The sequence below is a fragment of the Homo sapiens genome, chromosome 18 (genome assembly GCF_000001405.40).
Source record: "Homo sapiens chromosome 18, GRCh38.p14 Primary Assembly".
Lineage (NCBI taxonomy): Eukaryota > Metazoa > Chordata > Mammalia > Primates > Hominidae > Homo > Homo sapiens.
In genome coordinates this window covers 59,850,272-59,870,504 of record NC_000018.10, presented here as the reverse complement: position 1 = coordinate 59,870,504, position 20,233 = coordinate 59,850,272, and the positions used below count along the sequence as shown (strand labels likewise).

The following is a 20,233-nucleotide window of genomic DNA, read 5'->3' as shown; positions in this document are numbered from 1 at the left end:
GGCATGATGGCCTATGCCTATAATTCCAGCTACTCTGGAGGCTGGAGATGGGAGGATTCCTTGAGTCTGGGAGGCTGAGGCTGCAGTGAGCAGTGATTGCACCACTGCACTCCAGCCTGGGCAGCAGAGTAAGATCCTGTCTCAAAAAGAACAAAACAAGGCCAGGTGCAGTGGCTCACGCCTGTAATCCCAGCACTTTGGGAGACCGAGGCGGGTGGATCACGAGGTCAGGAGATCAATACCATCCTGGCTAACATGGTGAAACCTGTCTCTATTAAAAACACAAAACATTGGCCGGGCATGGTGGCGGGCACCTGTAGTCCCAGCTACTCGGGAGGCTGAGGCAGGAGAATGGCATGAACCTGGGAGGCGGAGCTTGCAGTGAGCCAAGATCACGCCACTGCACTCCAGCCTGGGCAACAGAGCGAGACTCCGTCAAAAAAAAAAAAAAGGAACAAAACAAAACAAAAACCCATTTCCTGTGTCCCCTAATGTTGCATTATTGTTGGATGCATAACAGGAATTTGTAAAATACAAAAATAGAAGAAAGACTAGGGGAAAGGCAGAATCCTATATTAGCATTTTTAAAAAATTAAATGTAAATATACTTTTCTCATTATATAAGTAATACATAGCTGGGTGTAGTGTCATCAGCTTAATGTCCCACCTACTTGGGAGGCTGAGACAGAAGAATCACTTGAGCCCAGATGTTTGAGGTACAGCCTGGGCAACATAGCAAGACCCCATCTCTAAAGAAATTATATGTATATTACATATATATGTAATCCATTTTATTGTCTGTTCAGAAAACTCAAAAGCATAGAAATGTAAGAAGTGAGAAGTAAATCCCCTGTTACCCCATTCAACCAAAGATAATTTATTATTTTTAGCATATAGTTTTAGACTTGTTTATATTAAAATACAAACATATATGCACATATACATATATATTTAATAGAATAGATTATTCTGCATATCTTGTTTAGTAGATTTTTTTACACTTAGAGATATATGTTAACATCTTTTCCATATGTCTGTTTCATTAAGTGGCGTAACAGGACATGCAATCATTAATAACCGGTCTACTGGTGATGAACATTTTGTATTCAGTATTTTGCATTATATACATTCTACAAAGAACATCCTTGAACCTTGTTATCTTAAGTTCCTAAGATATCTTAAGAACCTAGTTCCTATATTAAGAACCTAGTTACCTACTTCTGTACATATATTTGAGCAGATAAATTCTTTTTTTTTTTTTGAGACGGAGTTTCGCTCTTGTTGCCCAGGCTGGAGTGCAGTGGTACGATCTCAGCTCACTGCAACCTCCGCCTCCCAGGTTCAAGCAATTCTCCTGCCTCAGCCTCTCAAGTAGCTGGGATTACAGGCATGTGCCACCACACCCGGCTAATTTTGTATTTTTTAGTAGAGATGGTTTCTCCATGTTGGTCAGGCTGGTCTTGAACTCCTGACCTCCGGTGACCCACCCACCTCAGCCTCCCAAAGTGCTGGGATTACAGCCATGAGCCGCCGTGCCTGGCCTGTGTAGATAAATTCTAAGCATTTGTTTCTCATACACAATGCAAAAATTATTTTCTCTAACTTGATGTTTGTGTTTAACTTCATATTTTTGCCATTTAGAGTTTTTTAGGTAGTCAAATTTGTCTCTTTCCATTTATAAGTTTTAGCCTTGGTGCTATTCTAAGCAGGTCCTACCTCTATCAAGCTTGTAAAAATCTTTTGGGCTGGGCATGGTGGCTCACGCCTGTAATCCCAACACTTTGGGAGGCCAAGGCAGGAGGATCACTTGAGGCCAGGAGTTTAAGATTAGCCTGGACAACATAGTGAGACCTCATCTCTACAAAATTAAAAAATTAGCCAGGTGTAATGGTGTTCTTCTGTAGTCTCAGCTATTAAGGAGGCTGAGTGGGGCTGGATCACTTGAGCCCAGAAGGTTGAGGCTGCAGTAAACTATGATTGGCCACTGTACTCTAGCCAGGGTGACAGAGTGAGGACTGTCTCAAAGAAAAACCACAAATGCCTGTTTTCTACCACTACATCATTACTTTGTTACATATTTACTTGTTACATTTTTATATAACAAATGAAATGTTTGTTACATGTTTAAGTTGTTACGCAGTTACTTCTTTCTTTTTCTTTGCAGAGGAAAACACTTTGAAATAAACTGTCCTTCAGAACGGCTCCCACCAGCAATGAATGACAATATCAATTCTCACAGTCCTCCATTATTCTGCATATTGTCTTTCTTTATACTATTTGTCAATTTGAAACGCGAAAAAAAACTTTCCTTCTTCTTATACTTTACATCTTCTTTGTTTTTCACAAAACCAATCCTTTGTTTTTTGTTTCTGTTTTTGAGACAAGGTTGCTCTCTGTTGCCCAGGTTGGAGTGCAGTGACGCGATCACAGCTCACTGCAGCCTTTACCTCTCAGGCTCAAACAATCCTCCTGCCTCAACCTCCCAAGTAGCTGGGAAAACAGGTGCACGCCATCAAGCCTGGCTAATTTTTTTTTTTTAATTTTTGTAGACAATGGGGTCTCACTATGTTGCCCAGCCTGGTCTCACATTCTTGGGCTCAAGCAATCCACCCACCTTGACCTCCCAAAGTGGTGGGATTACAGATATGAGCCAACATGCCTGGCCCAACCTTTTAAGATATGTTTATTTACAGTTATTATTTTTTTCTCTTGAAAAGTATTTAATTACATGCTTGGTTTATTTTTCTCCTGGGCTTTAAAAAAAATGAATTTGCAAGAGTTTGTCATATTTTCATATACATTTAGAACAAGATCCAGAAGAAGAATGTGAAGGATATGGACCCTTTTTAAATTGTATCTGTTGCAAATATTTTGAATTGTATTCCAAACTGTATTTGATAGTCTGGAGATAATCGCTGAGATTGTGCAATTTTAGCTGTTGCCCAGAGGTAAACACGAAGGGGGTGTGAGGGGGTGGTGCTGGGTAGAGAAAACTTTCCAAGGAGTTTATGCTAAATAGCAAGACAAAGCAAGTCCACAAACAGCAAAACAAGCAAGCACAAAGCATGTCTCATTCTCATGTTAATATTCATCTATTGATGGTGTCTTCAGGTGTATGAGTCCAGTGGGCTCATGCCAAAAACAGCCTGGGAAAACAGACTGAGGAGAAGAGGGGCTAGAAAGAAGGGGAGAGAACCCAGAGGTCTTGGGGGCTCTCCAAGCCTATGATACTTTATAACATGCTCTTGGGGCACACTTGGAGATTGCTGTAGACTGAGAGAGTGCATTGTGTCTCTTGTTTGATTTACCCATGTGATGCTTGGATGAGAACAGAGAATTAAACACATAAAATACTGTGCAATGTAATAGAAATGTGTTTTTTCCCTTAAGTCAGAGCTCTAGGATCATAAAGATATTTTGGCTCCAAATTACACCCTCTCCCCTCACCCCCACCACCAGCAATCAGAGACCAGTGTATTCTACTCACCATGGAATCAGGTCAAAACAGAAAACAAATTATTTTCATATGTAAGCCTTGCCTACAATGCTCAAAGTCTCAAGACTTGGGATTTTGCATCTCACTGTTTCCAAGGTCTGGACTCTCACAGGGACACCTAGCTATGTGTGACATCATCATTAGCACTTCTATGTTTTATTAGAATGTGGACACATAGGTAATAAGAACATGCTGTTTCCCATCCCACTGTACCCATTGCCATTGATGTTGGCACATTATCTCAATGTTAGGCCGCTGTACCAGGAAATATCTCCTTTTCACACTTGCTACAAGAACATAGCCTCAACATATTCATGCCAGATAAGTCTCCCTATTTGACCTTTGTCATTATTTGCTGAACTTTTTGTTTGTTATGAGCCTACCAATAACACTGTTACTTGGCCAAGCACGGTGGCCTACACCTGTAATCCCAGCACTTTGGGAGGCAGAGGTGATGGGGGGGGGTTGTGGCGGATCACCTGAGGTCAGGAGTTCAAGACCAGCCTGGCCAACATGGCGAAACCCTGCCTCTACTAAAAGTACAAAAATTAGCTGGGCGTGGTGGCAGGTGCCTGTAATCCCAGCTACTCAGAAGGCTGAGGCAAGAGAATCACTTGAACCCGGGAGGTGGAGGTTGCAGTGAGCCAAGATCATGCGCTGCCCTCCAGCGTGGGTGACAAGAGCGAGACTCCGTCTCAAAAATAAATAAATAAATAAAATAACACTGTTACTTAACATTATCTGATTATTATAGTAGAATGGCTGGAAAACTTTCTGAATGGCAATCAATGTATATCCATTCACCTTTATAGTTACTGAATTTCGGTGCATCCCTGCTGTGACTCCAGGTCCTGCTAGAGCCCCTCTACGAACCCCACTATGACCGTGACCAGCAACAGCAAATTGATTGGAGTGTAATGGTCGTGGCTGATGTCTTTTTGCTTATTCCTGAACCTTAGAACTATTACTAGTAGTCTACATAATATATGCTAAACAGAATTAGGTAAACAAAACACTCCATGCTGCTTGGAACCTTTCAGGGAAGACTCGTGATCTTCCACCACCTTGGAAGTACAGGGCAATCTCACCAAATCAAGTACTAATACAAAAGTGTGGCTGGCATCACTATGTCGTTATGAGGGAAGCACATTTATATCTTCTGTTTATGTCTTCCCAGATGGTAGATGCAAACCTCTGTGGCCTCTGTTTCACCTCCTATTTTTTCCGTGATGCTCAAATGCGATCAGTCTTATGTAACAATGAGGTTAAGTCAAGGGGAAGAAAGATAGTGCAGAAGGAGTGGAAGAGAATGAGGAGAAAGAGACAGAGGTGCATGGTAGGAAAGCAGATAAGCCTGCTGGCTGCTGTTGACATGTAGAACCTTCTAGAAACACTCCACAAAGCTCTATTTCTCTCTAAAGCAACATAGGAGAAAGGCATCTTCATTTCTTTATGCCATAGTTAGGATAGAAAAGCATAATTACATAGTGTGAGTACTAAGCCACTCTGAGGATAGAGTCTTAAACTCTCTGGATCCAGAGACTTAAGTCTGTGCATGTAGGGAAACACTAACCACACTTAATTACGCCTGCCTGACCCTGAGTGACTCACTAGCTGGGGTGAGAAGTTAGGGGGCTGCAGGGATATAAAGCTGGGCACTCCAGGACAGGTGAGGGGAGCGACTGTGGAAGTCTGTATTATTGAAAATAAAGACTTTTTTTGGACTAGCAGTGTAAAATCAAGAGTTAATGCATGCTAAACTTGGATGATCCCCCAATATAAGCTTGTCTTACACAGAAAGCAGCAAACCACTATCCCATCCTTTATGACTTTTAATCTGTAAAGTTTTGTGTAACTTTCCCCATCTCATCTCAGGTTTTCTTCTATAATTTCAGAATTTATTTATTTATTTATGTAGAGTCTCACTCTGTCGCCCAGGCTGGAGTGCAGTGGCATGATCTCAGCTCACTGCAACCTTCACCTCCCAGGTTCCAGCGATTCTCCTGCCTCAGCCTCCTGAGTAGTCGGGATTACAGGCGCCCTCCATAATTTCAGAATTTTCGTGATGCTTAATTCTATACTTAAACCTGAATATTGAGTCTAAACTTCCATTGGCTTTTCTAGGAACAAGATTAGGTAATAATAACTATGTTTACTAATAGTTTCTCAAGTTCTCCTTATTCATCGTCAATGGTATAGCCACATAATCACTTTATAAATAGCACATGGTTAGGCTTTTCACCTGCCTTATATCTCACTTGCACTGTTTTAAAATAGTGTTTTCCCTGCACCTTCTTTTTTTTTAAACTTAATGACTTTTTTTTTTTTCACTTCATCCTCCCAAAGTGCTGGCATTACAGGCATAAACCCCGTGCCTGGCCAGACATATTATTTTTTAACTCTTGCCTTGGCCTTTGTTCAGACTTGTATCATAAAGTCAATTAGTCATTGCTAGATAAGGTACACCCTTTCCGAGCTGGTTTTGAAAAGCAGGGACTGGGAGTAATCCAATCTGTGATGCAAACTTTGTTTACCAGAAGGTTTGTTACCAGGTGGTAAACAAAGTGTTTGCCCTTATAGAAAAACACTTCCCATACAACTGAAGGTGAATACACAACAGAACAACGACAGTCCCAGAAGCTTCCCCGGGCCTTGGTGCATTGTTATGTAGATGAGCTTTTGCTAAAGATGGCTGCAGGTGCAGCCAGGAGTCCCTGGAATATGCAGAAAGACTCCTGGCTTTGTGTAAATCGCTTCCAGCTGATTTAGACAGTTAGCAAAGGGCATTTATTCAGCAACTGGGGACAAAATTGACATCTGTCCTCCTTTCCTCGAGGAGGTCTGAAACTTTTTTTTAAAGATTATATTTTTAAGGCCAGGCACGGTGGCTCATGCCTGTAATCCCAGCACTTTGGGAGGCCGAGGCGGGTGGATCACGAGGTCAGGAGATCGAGACCATCCTGGCGAACACGGTGAAACTCCGTCTTTACTAAAAATACAAAAAAAACAAATTAGCCAGGCATGGTGGCGAGTGCCTGTGGTCCCAGCTACTCGAGAGGCTGAGGCAGGAAAATGGAATGAACCCGGGGGGCGGAGCTGGTAGCGAACGCAGATCCCACCACTGCACTCCAGCCTGGGCGACGGAGCGAGACTCCGTCTCAAAAAAAAAAAAAAAAAAAAAAAGATTGTATTTTTAGAACAGTTTTAAGCTCAACATAAAATTAAGAGGGAGGTACAAAGATCTTTTACACATCCTCTGTCCCCACCTATGCAGCCTCACCTATGGGCACCAGCATGACACGTTTGTTACAATGGCTGAATTCACATGCCATTATCAAAACCCAAATACCGTAGCTTACATGAGGGTTCACTCTTAGTGTTGTGTATTCTATCGGTTTGAACAAATGTATCATGGCATATATCCACCATTATAGTATACACAGTATATTCACTGTTCTAAAAATCCTCTGTGGGTCTGAAAGGTTTATGTTGTTCTGGTTTTTGGTTTTTGGTTTTGGGTTTTTTTTGGGGGAGGGTGGGGGTGGAGGGCAGGGTCTCACTCTGTCACTCAGGCTGGAGTGCAGTGGTGTGATCATAGCTCATGGCAGCCTCAACCTCCCAGCTCGAGCAATCCTCCCACCTCAGCCTCCTGAGTAGCTGAGAGACTACAGGCACACACCACCACACCCAGATTGGTTTTTTTTTTTTTTTTTTTTGAGACGGTCTCACTCTGTCACCCATGCTGGAGTACACTGGCACAATCCTGGCCCACTGCAATCTCCACCTCCTGGGTTCAACCAATTCTCCTGGCTCAGCCTCTGGAGTAGCTGGGACTACAGGTGGGTGCTACCATGCCCGGCTAATTTTTGTATTTTTAGTAGAGACGGGGTTTCACCATGTTGGCCAGGCTGGTCTCGAACTCCTGACCTCAAGTGATCCATCTGCCTTGGCCTCCCAAAATGCTGGTATTACAGACATGAGCCACTACACCTGGCCTTAATTTTTATTTTTTGTAGAGATGGGATCTTGCTGTTACCAAGGCTGGTCTCTAACTCCTGGGCTCAAGGGATCCTCCTGCCTGAGCCTCCCAAAGTGCTGGGATTAGAGACCTAAACCACTGCCCCGGTCCAGGTCTGAAACTTTTTAAAGGAGAGTACCACTTGTTGACCCCTTTCCTTTTGATACTGGGAAGGGAGTGCTTAAGTGGGGGATGCCTCCTTTCTCAATGCAAAGAGGAGACTCTTACTAGTATATTTAGGGGTAATGGTTGCCTTTTGCCAAATGAAAGTTTGTGTCTACCGTCTGGGGAGACATAAACACAGCCACCAATAAGCACTGTGATTACAGCCAGAAAGGCCTGGTCCTGAGGCTAATTACACTGGAGAAGTCTGAATGTGCCCCAGGGACTGGAGAAGTCCCACCTTCTTCTTGACTACTTCTGCCAGATGTCTGTGGGGTCTCCAAGATAACCAGGCCCCTCTTTTTGTTTCACTAATGACTGCCTCTTTAGGACCTTGGCTCTGCTTGAGCGGGACCTGGAAACCTATTTACCAACCACTTTATAGGCGGAGCTTGCAGTGAGCCAAGTTCACGCCACTGCACTCTAGCCTGGGCGACAGAGCAGAACTCCGTCTCAAAAAAAAAAAAAAAGAAAGGAAAAGAAAAAGAAATTAGGCAATTTGCCTAAAACCACATAACTGTGAGTGGCAGGGGCACATGGCTGTGAGGTTTGTCTCCTAAGCCCTTGGGGTTAGGTTTGTCTAACCTGTTAAGGCAGGTTTGTCTCCAAAGCCCTTGGAGCTTTCCTTACATTACACCACCTTTCCGAAGTTGCTAGAGATGCACAAGATGAGGTTGCAGTCAGGAAAACTCAGTTCAATGCATGACCTAGTAAAACAGCCAGTGCTGGAAAGTTCAGGAGAGGAGGGTGAATTTCTTGTCCTTAAAGTCCCTGCACAGCCCTACAGGGTGACAGCAAAGTCCTTGGTTGGCCATCTCCCCTTAGCCTGGACATTGGACCCTTGACACCATGTTGAAGGCCAGTGACCCACAAGGCTGCTGGCTGCCCACCCCGCCTGCCTCCTGCCTTGGAATTCTAAAAAGCAATTGAAACAATCAAGTATTGATGTCAAGTTAGGGGAAAAATCATGCATTTCCAAACTGAAATTCAAAGTTAGTCCTTCTGAGACAGGTAAAGGAAGGGTATATGGAAATTGTCTGAGATAGCAGTTGTTCCCCCTAATTCTGCCTTAGTCTCTCAGCTGCTAACAGAAGTCCGCAGAACTGTAAGGAATTTTTTTTTTTTGAGACAGAGTCTCGCTCTGTCACCCAGGCTGGAGTGCAGTGGCACGATCTCGGCTCACTGCAAGCTCCGCCTCCCCGGTTCACGCCATTCTCCTGCCTCAGCCTCCCGAGTGGCTGGGACTACAGGCACCCGCCACCGCGCCCGGCTAATTTTTTTTTTTTTGTATTTTTGGTAGAGAGGGGGTTTCACCGTGTTAGCCAGGATGGTCTTGAACTCCTGACCTCGTGATCTGCCTGCCTCGGCCTCCCAAAGTGCTGGGATTACAGGTGTGAGCCACTGCGCCCGGCCTGTAAGGAACTTTTGATCAGACCCCATGGCTGGCCTCGGTCTTCCCTCAGTGAATCCCTGAGAAGAGTGTTGGTCTCTTAGCTCTGCCCCTAGAAAGATCTAAAATAATCTCGAATCTAGAATGACCTCATTTCTACCCGTCTCTGCCAGAGTCCAGAAATGTTCAGCTGCTATCTCTCTTCAGCCTCAAATCCCTAACCCTGGGGTGATTCACTCCTGAAACAGAGTAGATAATTTAATCCAGGAAAACTCTCTCTTTCTAGGAAGAAGGGTTTACTCGTCACCCTCTGTGTAGTCACAGGAACCTTGATTAATTTATGAACTGATAACAATGTGTATAGATTGTTTTTTTAAATTCCACTTTTAGAGTATTGCTACTGCTGCATATTTCTTCTAACTATAGCTGTTAAGCTGCTGGAGAAACAAGACTCACAGAGGTTAATAGAATGTCCTCAGAGGCAAGGGTTCAAATCATGCCTCAACCATGACACAGCCCTGCAGCCTTGCACAGACTACTTAATCCTAATTTCCTTTGTCTTAAAGAAGGAATAAGAGCAGCACTTACCTCACTGGGCAGCTGTATGTGTTGAGATCATGCACATAGTGTACATAAAGCACTTAGTACATAACATGTGCTCGGTAGCCCCTGGGATTATCATTGTTACAAGGAGTACTTTGAAAATGCTTGTCCTATAAAGAATATTTGCTGGAATTTGCCCCTAATTCTAATCTTTTGTTTTGTTTTTTTTGTTTTTGCAACAGTCTTGCTCTGTCGCCCAGGCTGGAGTGCAGTGGTACAATCAATCTCAGCTCACTGCAAACTCCATCTTCCAGGTTCAAGTGATTCTCCTGCCTCAGCCTCCCGAGTAGCTGGGGTTACAAGTGTGTGCCACCACACCCAGCTAATTTTTGTATTTTTAGTGGAGGCAGGGTTTCACCATGTTGGCCAGTCTGGCCTTGAACTCCTGACCTCAGGTGATCCGCCCACCTTGGCCTCCCAAATTGCTGGGATTACAGGCGTCAGCCACCATGCTCGGCCTCCTAATTCTAAATTTATCTGCATCTTGCATCCATTCTCTGCTATGGCTCAGTTGAGGTAAAAGGAAATAGTAATATCTTATGCTCTGCTCTTTTATTCTTATTAAATGCTTTCTTATTCACTATCCCAATGCCTCAAATGATGCATGCTTAAGAAATACTTTATTTTTCACAGCTGTCCTGGAAGACAGATGGCATAGATCATGATGGTGCTGTCTTATAAAGGAAGGAAGTCTACTAAGGGCTTCCAGGTGGGCCAGGCTGTATTCATTTATGCTAGAGCTGCTACAGTTGGGTGGCTTCATGTAATAGAAATGCATTGTCTCAGAGCTCCGGAGGCTAGAAGTCCAAAATCAAGGTACTGGCATGGTTGTTTCCTTCTGAGAGTTGTGAGGGAGAACCTGTTCATACCTCTCGCCTAGCTTCTGGTGTTTTACTGGCAATCCTGGGTGTTCTTGGATTCTAGAAGCATCACTCCAACAGCTGTCTCCTTCCTCATGTGGCTTTTCTCCCTGTGTGTGCCTGTCTCTTTGTCTAAAGAACCCCTTTTAATAAGGATACCAGGCACTTTGGATTAGGGCTCACCCTAATGACTCATCTGAACAACATCATCTACAAAGACCCTATTTCCAAGTAAGGTCAAATTCACAGGTGCTGGGGGTTAGGCCTTCACCATCATTCAGATGGGACACAACTCAACCCACAACATGGGCCTAAAGTTAATGTCATTTAAACCAGTTGCTGTTTAGATGCCGCATCTCCCAGCTTCTTCAGTCTCCAGAATCAGCTATTGCTTTTTGGTTTTTTTTTTAGAGAAGGGATCTTGGGCCAGGCACGGTGGCTCATGCCTGTAATCCTAATACGTTGTGAGGCCAAGGCAGGCGGATCACCTGAGGTCAGGAGTTCAAGACCAGCCTGGCCAACATGGCGAAACCCCATCTCTATAACAAAATAGAAAAGTCGGGCATGGTGGTCGGCGCTTGTAGTCCCAGCTACTCAGGAGGCTGAGGCAGGAGAATGGCTTGAACCCAGGAGGCAGAGGTTGCAGTGCGCCGAGATTGCACCACTGCACTCCAGCCTGGGCAACGGAGCAAGACTCTGTCTCAAAAAAGGAAAAAAGAGAGATGGGATCTCACTGTGTTGCCCAGGTTTGTCTTGAACTCACAGGCTCAAGCCATTCTCCAGCCTCAGCTTCCCAACATGCTGGGATTACAGGTGTGAGCCACTGCAACTCCTACCCCCCCATTTTTTTTTTTGAAAAAAATAAAATCTTTGCTGCTAAACAAATTAATCCCATAAAAAAAACAATTGGGGAACAAAAACACCTGCAAAAATATGAATTAAAGAATGGCAGGGGAGTTGTTCTTTTTTCTTCTCCTGGACTTTAGAAAGTCTGGCTTCTGGACAGGTGCAGTGGCTCACTCCTGTAATCCCAGCACTTTGGAAGGCCGAGGCGGGTGGATCACAAGGTCAAGAGATCGAGACCATCCTGGCCAACATGGTGAAACCTGGTCTCTACTAAAAATACAAAAATTAGCCAGGCATGACGGCATGCACCTGTAGTCCCAGCTACTCGGGAGGCTGAGGCAGGAGAATCACTTGAACCCGGGAGGCAATGGTTGCAGTGAGCCGAGATCGTGCCACTGCACTCCAGCTTGGTGACACAGCGAGACTCCGTCTCAAAAAAAAAGAAAAGAAAGAAAGTTTGGCTTCTTTATTTCTGTGACAGGACTTCATCCTCCGCAACTTAATGGCACAGCCTATATCAATCAGCCGTCTTGTAGGGTGATAGAGAGATGCTGGCAGAAGATAGGGTGAAAAGAGCACAGTAGAAACACATCCAGATGCCCAGTGCACACAGACGCTTTTGTGTCTCTCTTGTTTTCAGCATAGAGTCCAAAATAATGACCTATATCAGAGTTTGGCAAAGTGCACCCAGCACCTGTTTTTTTTTTTTTTTAAACTATCTTGAAATAATTATAGATCCATAGGAAGTTGCAAAAGTACTACAGAGAGCTTCTCTGTACCCTTCACCCAGGTCACCTTCTCTGCAATGGTTGCATATTAAGCAATTGTCAGCTATTGCATTTCTTTTTTAATTGAAATGGAGTCTTGCTCTGTCGCCCAGGTTGGAGTGCAATGGCACGATCTCGGCTCACTGAAGCCTCCGCCTCCTGGGTTCAAGTGATTCTCATGCCTCTTCCTCCCAAGTAGCTGGGATTACAGGTGTGCGCCACTAGGCTTGGCTAATTTTTGTATTTTTAGTAGAGACAGGGTTTCAACATGTTGGCCAGGCTGGTCTCGAACTCCTGACCTTAAGTGATCTGCCTGCCTTGGCCTCCCAAAGTGCTGGGATTACAGGCATGAGCCACTACATCCAACCAGGTATTGCTTTTTGAAGATTGTGGTGCTGGGAACAATATACTAGAACTATTTGCTGCAAAATCCCTGCAGGCTCACCTCACCCAAACCACTGCCTTTGAAAGGAACCTGAATTCACAGTTCCCCTGTCAACCTTCCAGAATCTACACATACAGACCCTTTCCTCTGATATGGTTGACCTGGTTTACTCTTTTCCTTGAGGGGATTTCTGTCACCCCCTGCGGATGCCACAGTCCCCTGTGATGAGGGGAAAGGGGAAACTGCAAAGTGGGGACAGCTTCAGCCCCTGCCTTGATGACACTGAGGAGTCTACAGAGGGGTCTACGCTATATTCCTGGTTTCATCCAACTCATGTTCATCTGTGGCTACCTGGGGAAAAGAGCCCAGTTCACAGGGACAGAAATGGTTTCTGCCATCGCGTTGGCAAGAGAGGGGAAGTGGCTGATGAAAGGTGAAAGACATACACTAGTGAGGGTGATCCCTTCTGAGACGCAAAACCAGTTGCCTCAGGAGTCCTGAAACAGGAGGAGTTTTAGCCAGGAGTGGGGCACGACGTACCTGAAGTCTCAGCTACTCAGGAAGCTAAGGTGGGAGGATCACTTGAGCATAGGAGTTCCAAGCTGTATTGAGCTAGGATGGCACCACTGCACTCCAGCCTGGGTGACAGAGCAGTATCCTGTCTTTAAAATATAATAAATAAATAAATTTAAAAATAAAAGATCCTCACTTGAGTCAGAAAATGCAGAAAGATATCAAAAGAAAATAAGTCTCAACTAACCCCACCATCCTGTAGTAAAACAAAACAAAACTTGTTGATGTCTTTTTTGTATATTAAAAGAATGCATGTTATAAGAAAATTGTTGAGAGATTTCAACCATTTGGCTCAAGAAAGAAGTTAGTGATGTTTTCCTTTCTGGAATTGCATCGTTCAACTTTTCTGTTAAGTTTACCAAGTGCTGTGTTTTCCTTCCTTTTTTCTTTGCATTTATGTGTATGTGTGTGAGTATATGTGTGTTTTACAAATTGATATCACTCTGCATATGCTGTTTTATATATTACTTTTCTTTACCTTAATCTTAGAACATAAATCATGATTATTTTCCTGTCATATGAATTATTTTTTAGAACTCTTTGTCATTACATGAACAGAACATTTACATCATAGAAGCCTGGAAAATGCAGGCATAAAATTAAAAATAAGACCACTAATCTTTCACCTCTCAGACACTCAGATCGCTGTTATTACACCTTAGAGCCCTTACTTGTGGACACTATTTCTAACCATGTGTTGTGTGTGTGTGTGTGTGTGTGTGTGTGTGTGTATGTGTGTATACATAAAGCAACAAAGTGAATTGTACACTTTTTAAAATTAGTTTCTTTTTGAGATAGAGTCTCGCTCTGTCACCCAGGTTGGAGTGCAGTGGTACGATCTCAGCTAACTGCAATTCTACCTCCCAGGTTCAAGCGATTCTCTTGCCTCAGCCTCCTGAGTAGCTGGGATTACAGGCATGCGCCACCAAGCCCAGCTAATTTTTGTATTTTTAGCAGAGATGGGGTTTTTCCATGTTGGAACAGGCTGTTCTCGAACTCCTGACTTCATGATCTGCCCGCTTCAGCCTCCCAAAGTGCTGGGATTACATGCATGAGCCACTGCACCTAGCTGAATTGCACACTTTAAAGGGGTGAGTTTTATGGTATACGAATTCTATCTCAATAAACTTAAACATGTTGCCAAAACATATTTAGAGAATGATCACCTTTTGGAGTGTGTGTGTGTGTGTGTGTGTGTGCACGCATGAATGTGTGTGTATCCCCTAGTATTGGAACATCCTAAATGGACCTGAACATCCAAGTTTGTCCAAAACAGTGTCCAATGCAGCATGTGTTCACTGGTTACATCCTTTAGGCCTCTGGTTACATCCTTTATGATCTTCTGTAGTGACGAAGCATTAAGTTTAACAGTGACTCGTCATGCAATGATCATCTGTTTCATTTGACAGATGAGGAAATGGAGGCTCAGCAGGGCTGTGGGATCTACCCAGGGCCATGGTGCTTGTAAGCCGAGTCAGGACTCTGTGAAATGGAGCACTCGCCGGCACTCAACAGTCTTCACTACATCCACCACGTTGTTCTGATGGCACCTGCTGAAGCCTCACAGAATAACTGTATTTCTCTTCCTCAAAATGGTACCCTCTTCCCCTTCCAGTCGTTAGCTACTCAGCAGCTGTTTGTCCTCTGCTGGGCCCTAAATTGGTTGCTGGGGATGTAGCAATGAAAGGTGGAGCCCTTTTCAAGAAATGGGCTAGACTGGGTGTGGTGGCTCACACCTGTAATCCCAGCACTTTGGGAGGCCGAGGCAGGCAGATCACCTGAGGCCAGGAGTTCAAGACCAGCCTGGCCAACATGGTGAAATCCCATCCCCACTAAAAACCAAAAAGCAAAACAAAACAAAAAAACAAAATTAGCCAGGCACGGTGGCATACACCTGTAGTCCCAGCTACTCAGGAGACTGAGCAGGAGAATCGCTTGAACCAGGAGGCAGAGGTTGCAGTGAGCTGAGAGCAAGCCATTGCACTCCAGCCTGGGTGACAGAGCAAGACTCTGTCAAGAAAAAAAAAAAGAAGAAAGAGAGAAGGAAGGAAGAAAGGAGAGAGAAAGAGAGAGAAAGGGAAGGAAGGAAGGAGAAGAGAAGAGAAATAAGGAAAGAAAGAAAGAAAGAAAGAAAGAAAGAAAGAAAGAAAGAAAGAAAGAAAGAAAGAGAAAGAAAGAGAAAGGAAGGAAGGAAGGAAGGAAGGAAGGAAGGAAGGAAGGAAGGAAGGAAGGGGCTGGGAGAAGCAGACAGCAACAGGCAGTAACACAGAGTGACAACAGGGCGCTCTGGGAACAAAACACAGGGGCGCTGTGTCAGTTTCCTGGGGCTGCCACAACAAAGTGCCACAAACCAGGCAACTTAAACAATAGAAAATCAGCCAGGTGGGGTGGCTCACTCCTGTAACCCCAGCAATTTGGGAGGCCAAGACAGGAGGATTGCTTGAGCCCAAGAGTTCGAGACCAACCTGGGCAACATAGTGAGACCTCATCTCTACAGAGAAATCAAATAATTAGCTGGGCATAGTGGTGCATGCCTCTGGTCCCAGCTACTTGGGAGGTCAAGGCAGGAGCTTCAGCACACGAGTTCGAGGCTGCAATGAGCTACTTTGTTTGATCTCACCATTGCACTCTAGCCCGGGACAGAGGGAGACCTTATCTTTTAAAAAAAATTTCTGATGGCAGACCTCACCTACAGAGATGTGATTCATTGTGCCTGGGTTGGAGGCCTGCATTGTTTGAAAGCTCCCCCAGACGATGCTAACGTACAGCCCAGGTTGAGGAGGCCAGCTCCAGACCAGGGGTCCCGCACTCGGCGTGCATCAGAATCACAGGACGGCTTGCTTGCTGGGCTCCATAGCCAAGTTTCTAGTGCAGTAGTTCAGGTATGGGGCCTAAGAATCTGCATTTCTAACATGCTCCCAGGTGGTCCAGGGAGCTCCTGGTCCCAGAGAGCACACTATGAGGAGCACTTTGATCCTGTCTATGCCAGTTAGCCTCAGCATCAGCAGGGATCTGCGGGAAATGCAGAATTTTGGCCCCCACCTCAGAGCTGCACAAAATCCCCTGTTGATTCTGGTGTTTGAGAACTCCTGCTCCAGTCAATTCCGCTATCAGGGGACACATAATTTTACGCAGGTTATACTTGGCACAACCTGACACACAGTAAAACACTCAAGGCCAAGCACAGTGGCTCAGGCCTGTAATCCCAGCACTTTGAGAGGCTAAGGCGGGCAGATCACTTGAGCCCTGGAGGTCAAGAATGCAATGAGGCTTTATCACACTACTGCACTCCAGCCTAGGTGGTAGAGCAGACTCCATCTCTTGTTTTTTTTGTTTTTTTTTTTTTTGAGATGGAGTTTCACTCTTGTTGCCCAGGCTGGAGTGCAATGGCATGATCTCGGCTCACTGCAACCCCTGCCTCCCGAGTTCAAGCAATTCTCGTGCCTCAGCCTCCCGAGTAGCTGGGATTACAGGCATGTGCCACCACAACCAGCTAATTTTGTATTTTTAGTAGAGACGGGGTTTCACCATGTTGGTCAGGCTGGTCTCAAACTCCTGACCTTAGGTGATCCGCCTGCCTCTGCCTCCCAAAGTGCTGGGATTACAGGTGTAAACCACCGAGCCTGGCCAGCAGACTCCATCTCAAAACAAAAACAAAAACAAAAACAAAACAAACAATAACAACAAACACTCAGTAAATATTTGTAAAATAAACGAATGCCCATGAGCACACTGAGTTTTATTCCTGTCTACTGAGTGCTTTGATAGTGGTATCTAGAAGCCTGATTATAGCATTACTTAAGCAGAACAACAGAACCCCATGGGAACTCTTGCATGAAAGACCCAGGTGTGGGCCCTAGGGAGAACACAATAATCACAGCACTCTTCCATCCGTAAGCCAAGAGTTCATGCATCTATTTTGGGTGAGCCCAGTACTCAGACCCTGGATATAAAATGCTGATTGACAGTCTGTTCCTGACGTGAAGGAGCTTATGACCTAGGAATCCTGAAACACTTGCTCAATTCTTGTTATGATCACTAGAGCAAAATGTTAGCACAGTACAAGAGATAGCAGCAGGTGGAGTCACATAACCATCACCATCAGGAAGGCCAACCCGGGGATATCCTGAGAACTAGACATAGCACAGGGATAGCTGAAGAAGAGCAGTCGGTACTCAGGAGGGTAAAGGGCAGGCAAGCAACATCTGGAGTGTGTGGCAGGTAGCAGGGCCACCATCCAGGTGTCAGAAACAGGACTTCCTTTCTAAAACAGGGAATGACAAGAGCAGAGCAAGGGAATTTTAGATGAGTGCTGGCCGGACATTCAAGACAGAATAAAAGATGGAGACCCAGTTACCAGGACTGAAGAAAAAAGAAGGGACCACATCTTGGGATCAATCCTTAAACGACTTGGAGTTCATTCTTTCTGTAATGCGGGTGGTCCATCTAGGCAACAGTGTTTGGATCTTGGGGATCAGATAGGAACTCAATTTTGGGCCTAGGGCACAAATAAGTTTTCAGCGCCAGACCTAGTGGCCAAGGAAGGAAGAAAAGAAGGAAAGAAAGGGAAGGAAAGGAAGGGAGGGAGGGAGGAAGGATGGAAGGAAGGAAGCAAAGAAAGGAAGGAAGGAAGAAAGGAAGGGAGAGAGGAGGAGGGAAGGAAGGAGGGAGGGAGGAGAGAAGGGAGAAAGAAAGAAAGGGAGGGAAGGAAGGAAGGAAGGAGAAAGGGAGGGAGGGATCAATCCTTAGAGAACTTTAGGGATGTTTTCTCATGCAACAAATACTCTGCTTCACCTTATTGATGAAGAAATGGAGGCTCGGCAGTTTCCTGAATTTCCCCCAGTCTCTAGGAACAGATCTAAATATTCCAGTTTGACTTTCACCTGAAGGGGGGCAGGCGGCAGGCAGTATAAATATGTACAATATGGCATCCCAAGTAGTCTCTTCCTCTTCAGCTATCCTGTGCTCTGCCAAGTGCTCGGGATACCCCTGGGTTGGCCTTCCCAATGGTGGCTGTTATGTGACACCACCTCCTGCCATTTCTTGTACTGTACTAACATTTTGCCTGAGTGGTCGTAACCAGAAATGATCAATGTGGTGTCCATTTCTGTGTCTGTTGCTGTTTTAACTAAATTTAGAAAGTTCTCGGAATTGCAAAGATAATTTTTGGAGGGCCTAGGGAACATTGTGTCTTGGAGAGGCAGCCTCGTGAAGTGGGAAGCACTGTAACGGGAGCTGAAGGTTGACACAGCCCAGGTGGTCAAGGGACACAAGACGAGAGCCTTCCTGCCTGACCCTTCATTATTGATGATTGGTCCACTAAGGACCAATAAAGCGTCTAGGAGCCTCTCCAAGCTACTTAGAATTACTGAGGTGCCAGCAGGCACCAGGCTTATAAATCTGTCTTTTATTATCTGGTTGGCTTAGCCAGGTCTCCAAAAGGAACAGTCAAAGTTTTATGATGTACTTTAACGAGCTGACTTTCAGAGTCAGGCTTTGTCCTGGATGAAATCTCCCCAGCGGCAATGGAGGTCAGCTAGATCTCCTAACCCTGCTCAGAGTCCATTTGTTGTTAGACTGTTGATCAGAATCATTTTCTCATTCAAAACAGTGAAATGTCTTTTTTTTTTTTTTTTTTTGGCAGGAGGCAAGGAGGAACATGAGCATCTGCCCCACTCTCTAAATCTCTTAATATACATTGATACGCGTAGACACACAGCCTTTTTTTTTTTAGACGGAGTCTTGCTCTGTCGCCCAGGCTGGAGTAGCAATTCTCCTGCCTCAGCCTCCAGAGTAGCTGGGATTACAGGAGCACACCACCATGCCCTACTAATTTTTATATTTTCAGTAAATACAGAGTTTCACCCAGTTGACCAGGCTGGTCTTGAACTCCTGACCTCAGGTGATCCACCCGCCTTGGCCTCCCAAAGTGCCGGGATTACAGGTGTGAGCCACCACTAAAATTCACTTTTCAGATAGAAAATGTAACACTAGTGCCTACATTATTGAAAATGTGCTTTGTCATTGTCTATTGGTCTGATTAATCTAGGAGTTTATCTGCCCAAAAGCAAATTCTAGTATCATTTTATCACTGGTTCAATTTACAAGCTATCAAAAATACTGATGCTCTCATTAGTTCATGCTACAGAAAAAAATTTGTTAAAAATAATTATAAAATGTAAAAGCCCAATTTTAAAAGAAGCTGATCTAAAACTTTTATATCCAGGTAAGGGTAGTTACTTTGTGGGTTGTCCTTATGGTTCAGTCAATGCTATCATTGCCAAGAAAGTTCTGGAAACTTTTCTGAGCCCGGAGTTTATTCTTTGGATATCGTCTAGGGTGAGAAATCTTTTTTCTTTGGAGCTTTGCTTTCTGTAAACAACTTGGAGTTTATTCTTTCAGTAACGTGGGTGCTCCATCTGGGCAACACTGTTTGGATCTAAAACCCAGTTTGGGCCCAGAGAATTCCTTTTCTTGTGCAGTCTGTAAATATATTCTGAAAGCCACCCCAGAAGAGTTTCAGACATGTTTTAAACAAAGTAAAGAGCATAGGTAAGAAATAGAGCTTCCCAAAGCGGCTGTTTTAAAGTGATATTAATCTGGTAGAAATCACAATGCATTTTAAAAATAAATCCATGTGATTTTATAGCCATGACTCAGACACATAAACTTCTGAAGGTGAAAATGCTTTAGGGAGAGATAGAGAAAACTTTAAAATGGTTTACTTTTTAAGTACATGCTTAGGGGAAAAATAATTATATTGCCTTCCCCACCATGCACAAAAGAGTGAGATGAGAACTATTCAATTTCTCCCAAAGCTGCTGTTTTGCAGAAAGACTTACAGAAGAGTTGAGAACAGAAATGAGAATAACGCAGAAGTGGTGATGACCAGGAGGCCTGTAACTCAGTTTATGATTTGGGAACCATGTTATTCTCCTCCATCATTCAACACCATCTTTCCCCTACAAAAGCCCTTAGGCCAGTAACCTAAAGATCCAGCAATTGTGAGTTTAACATCACGGATAGTCCAGACCCCAAATAAAACATAGAATGGCTTGCATTTATACGTTGCTCTTTTTTTTTTTTTTTTTTGAGAGAGTCTCGTTTTGTCACCCAGGCTGGAGTGCAGCGAC

At 44.4% G+C, this 20,233-nt stretch overlaps 1 annotated feature.

Annotated features, from left to right (window-relative positions):
• Nucleotides 6,034–6,328: a silencer, noted in NCBI's record as "tiled region #560; K562 Repressive non-DNase unmatched - State 23:Low". NCBI's record gives its function as "represses a minimal TATA promoter and a strong SV40 promoter by Sharpr-MPRA in K562 cells {active_cell/tissue: K562}" and the evidence as "EXISTENCE:reporter gene assay evidence [ECO:0000049][PMID:27701403]".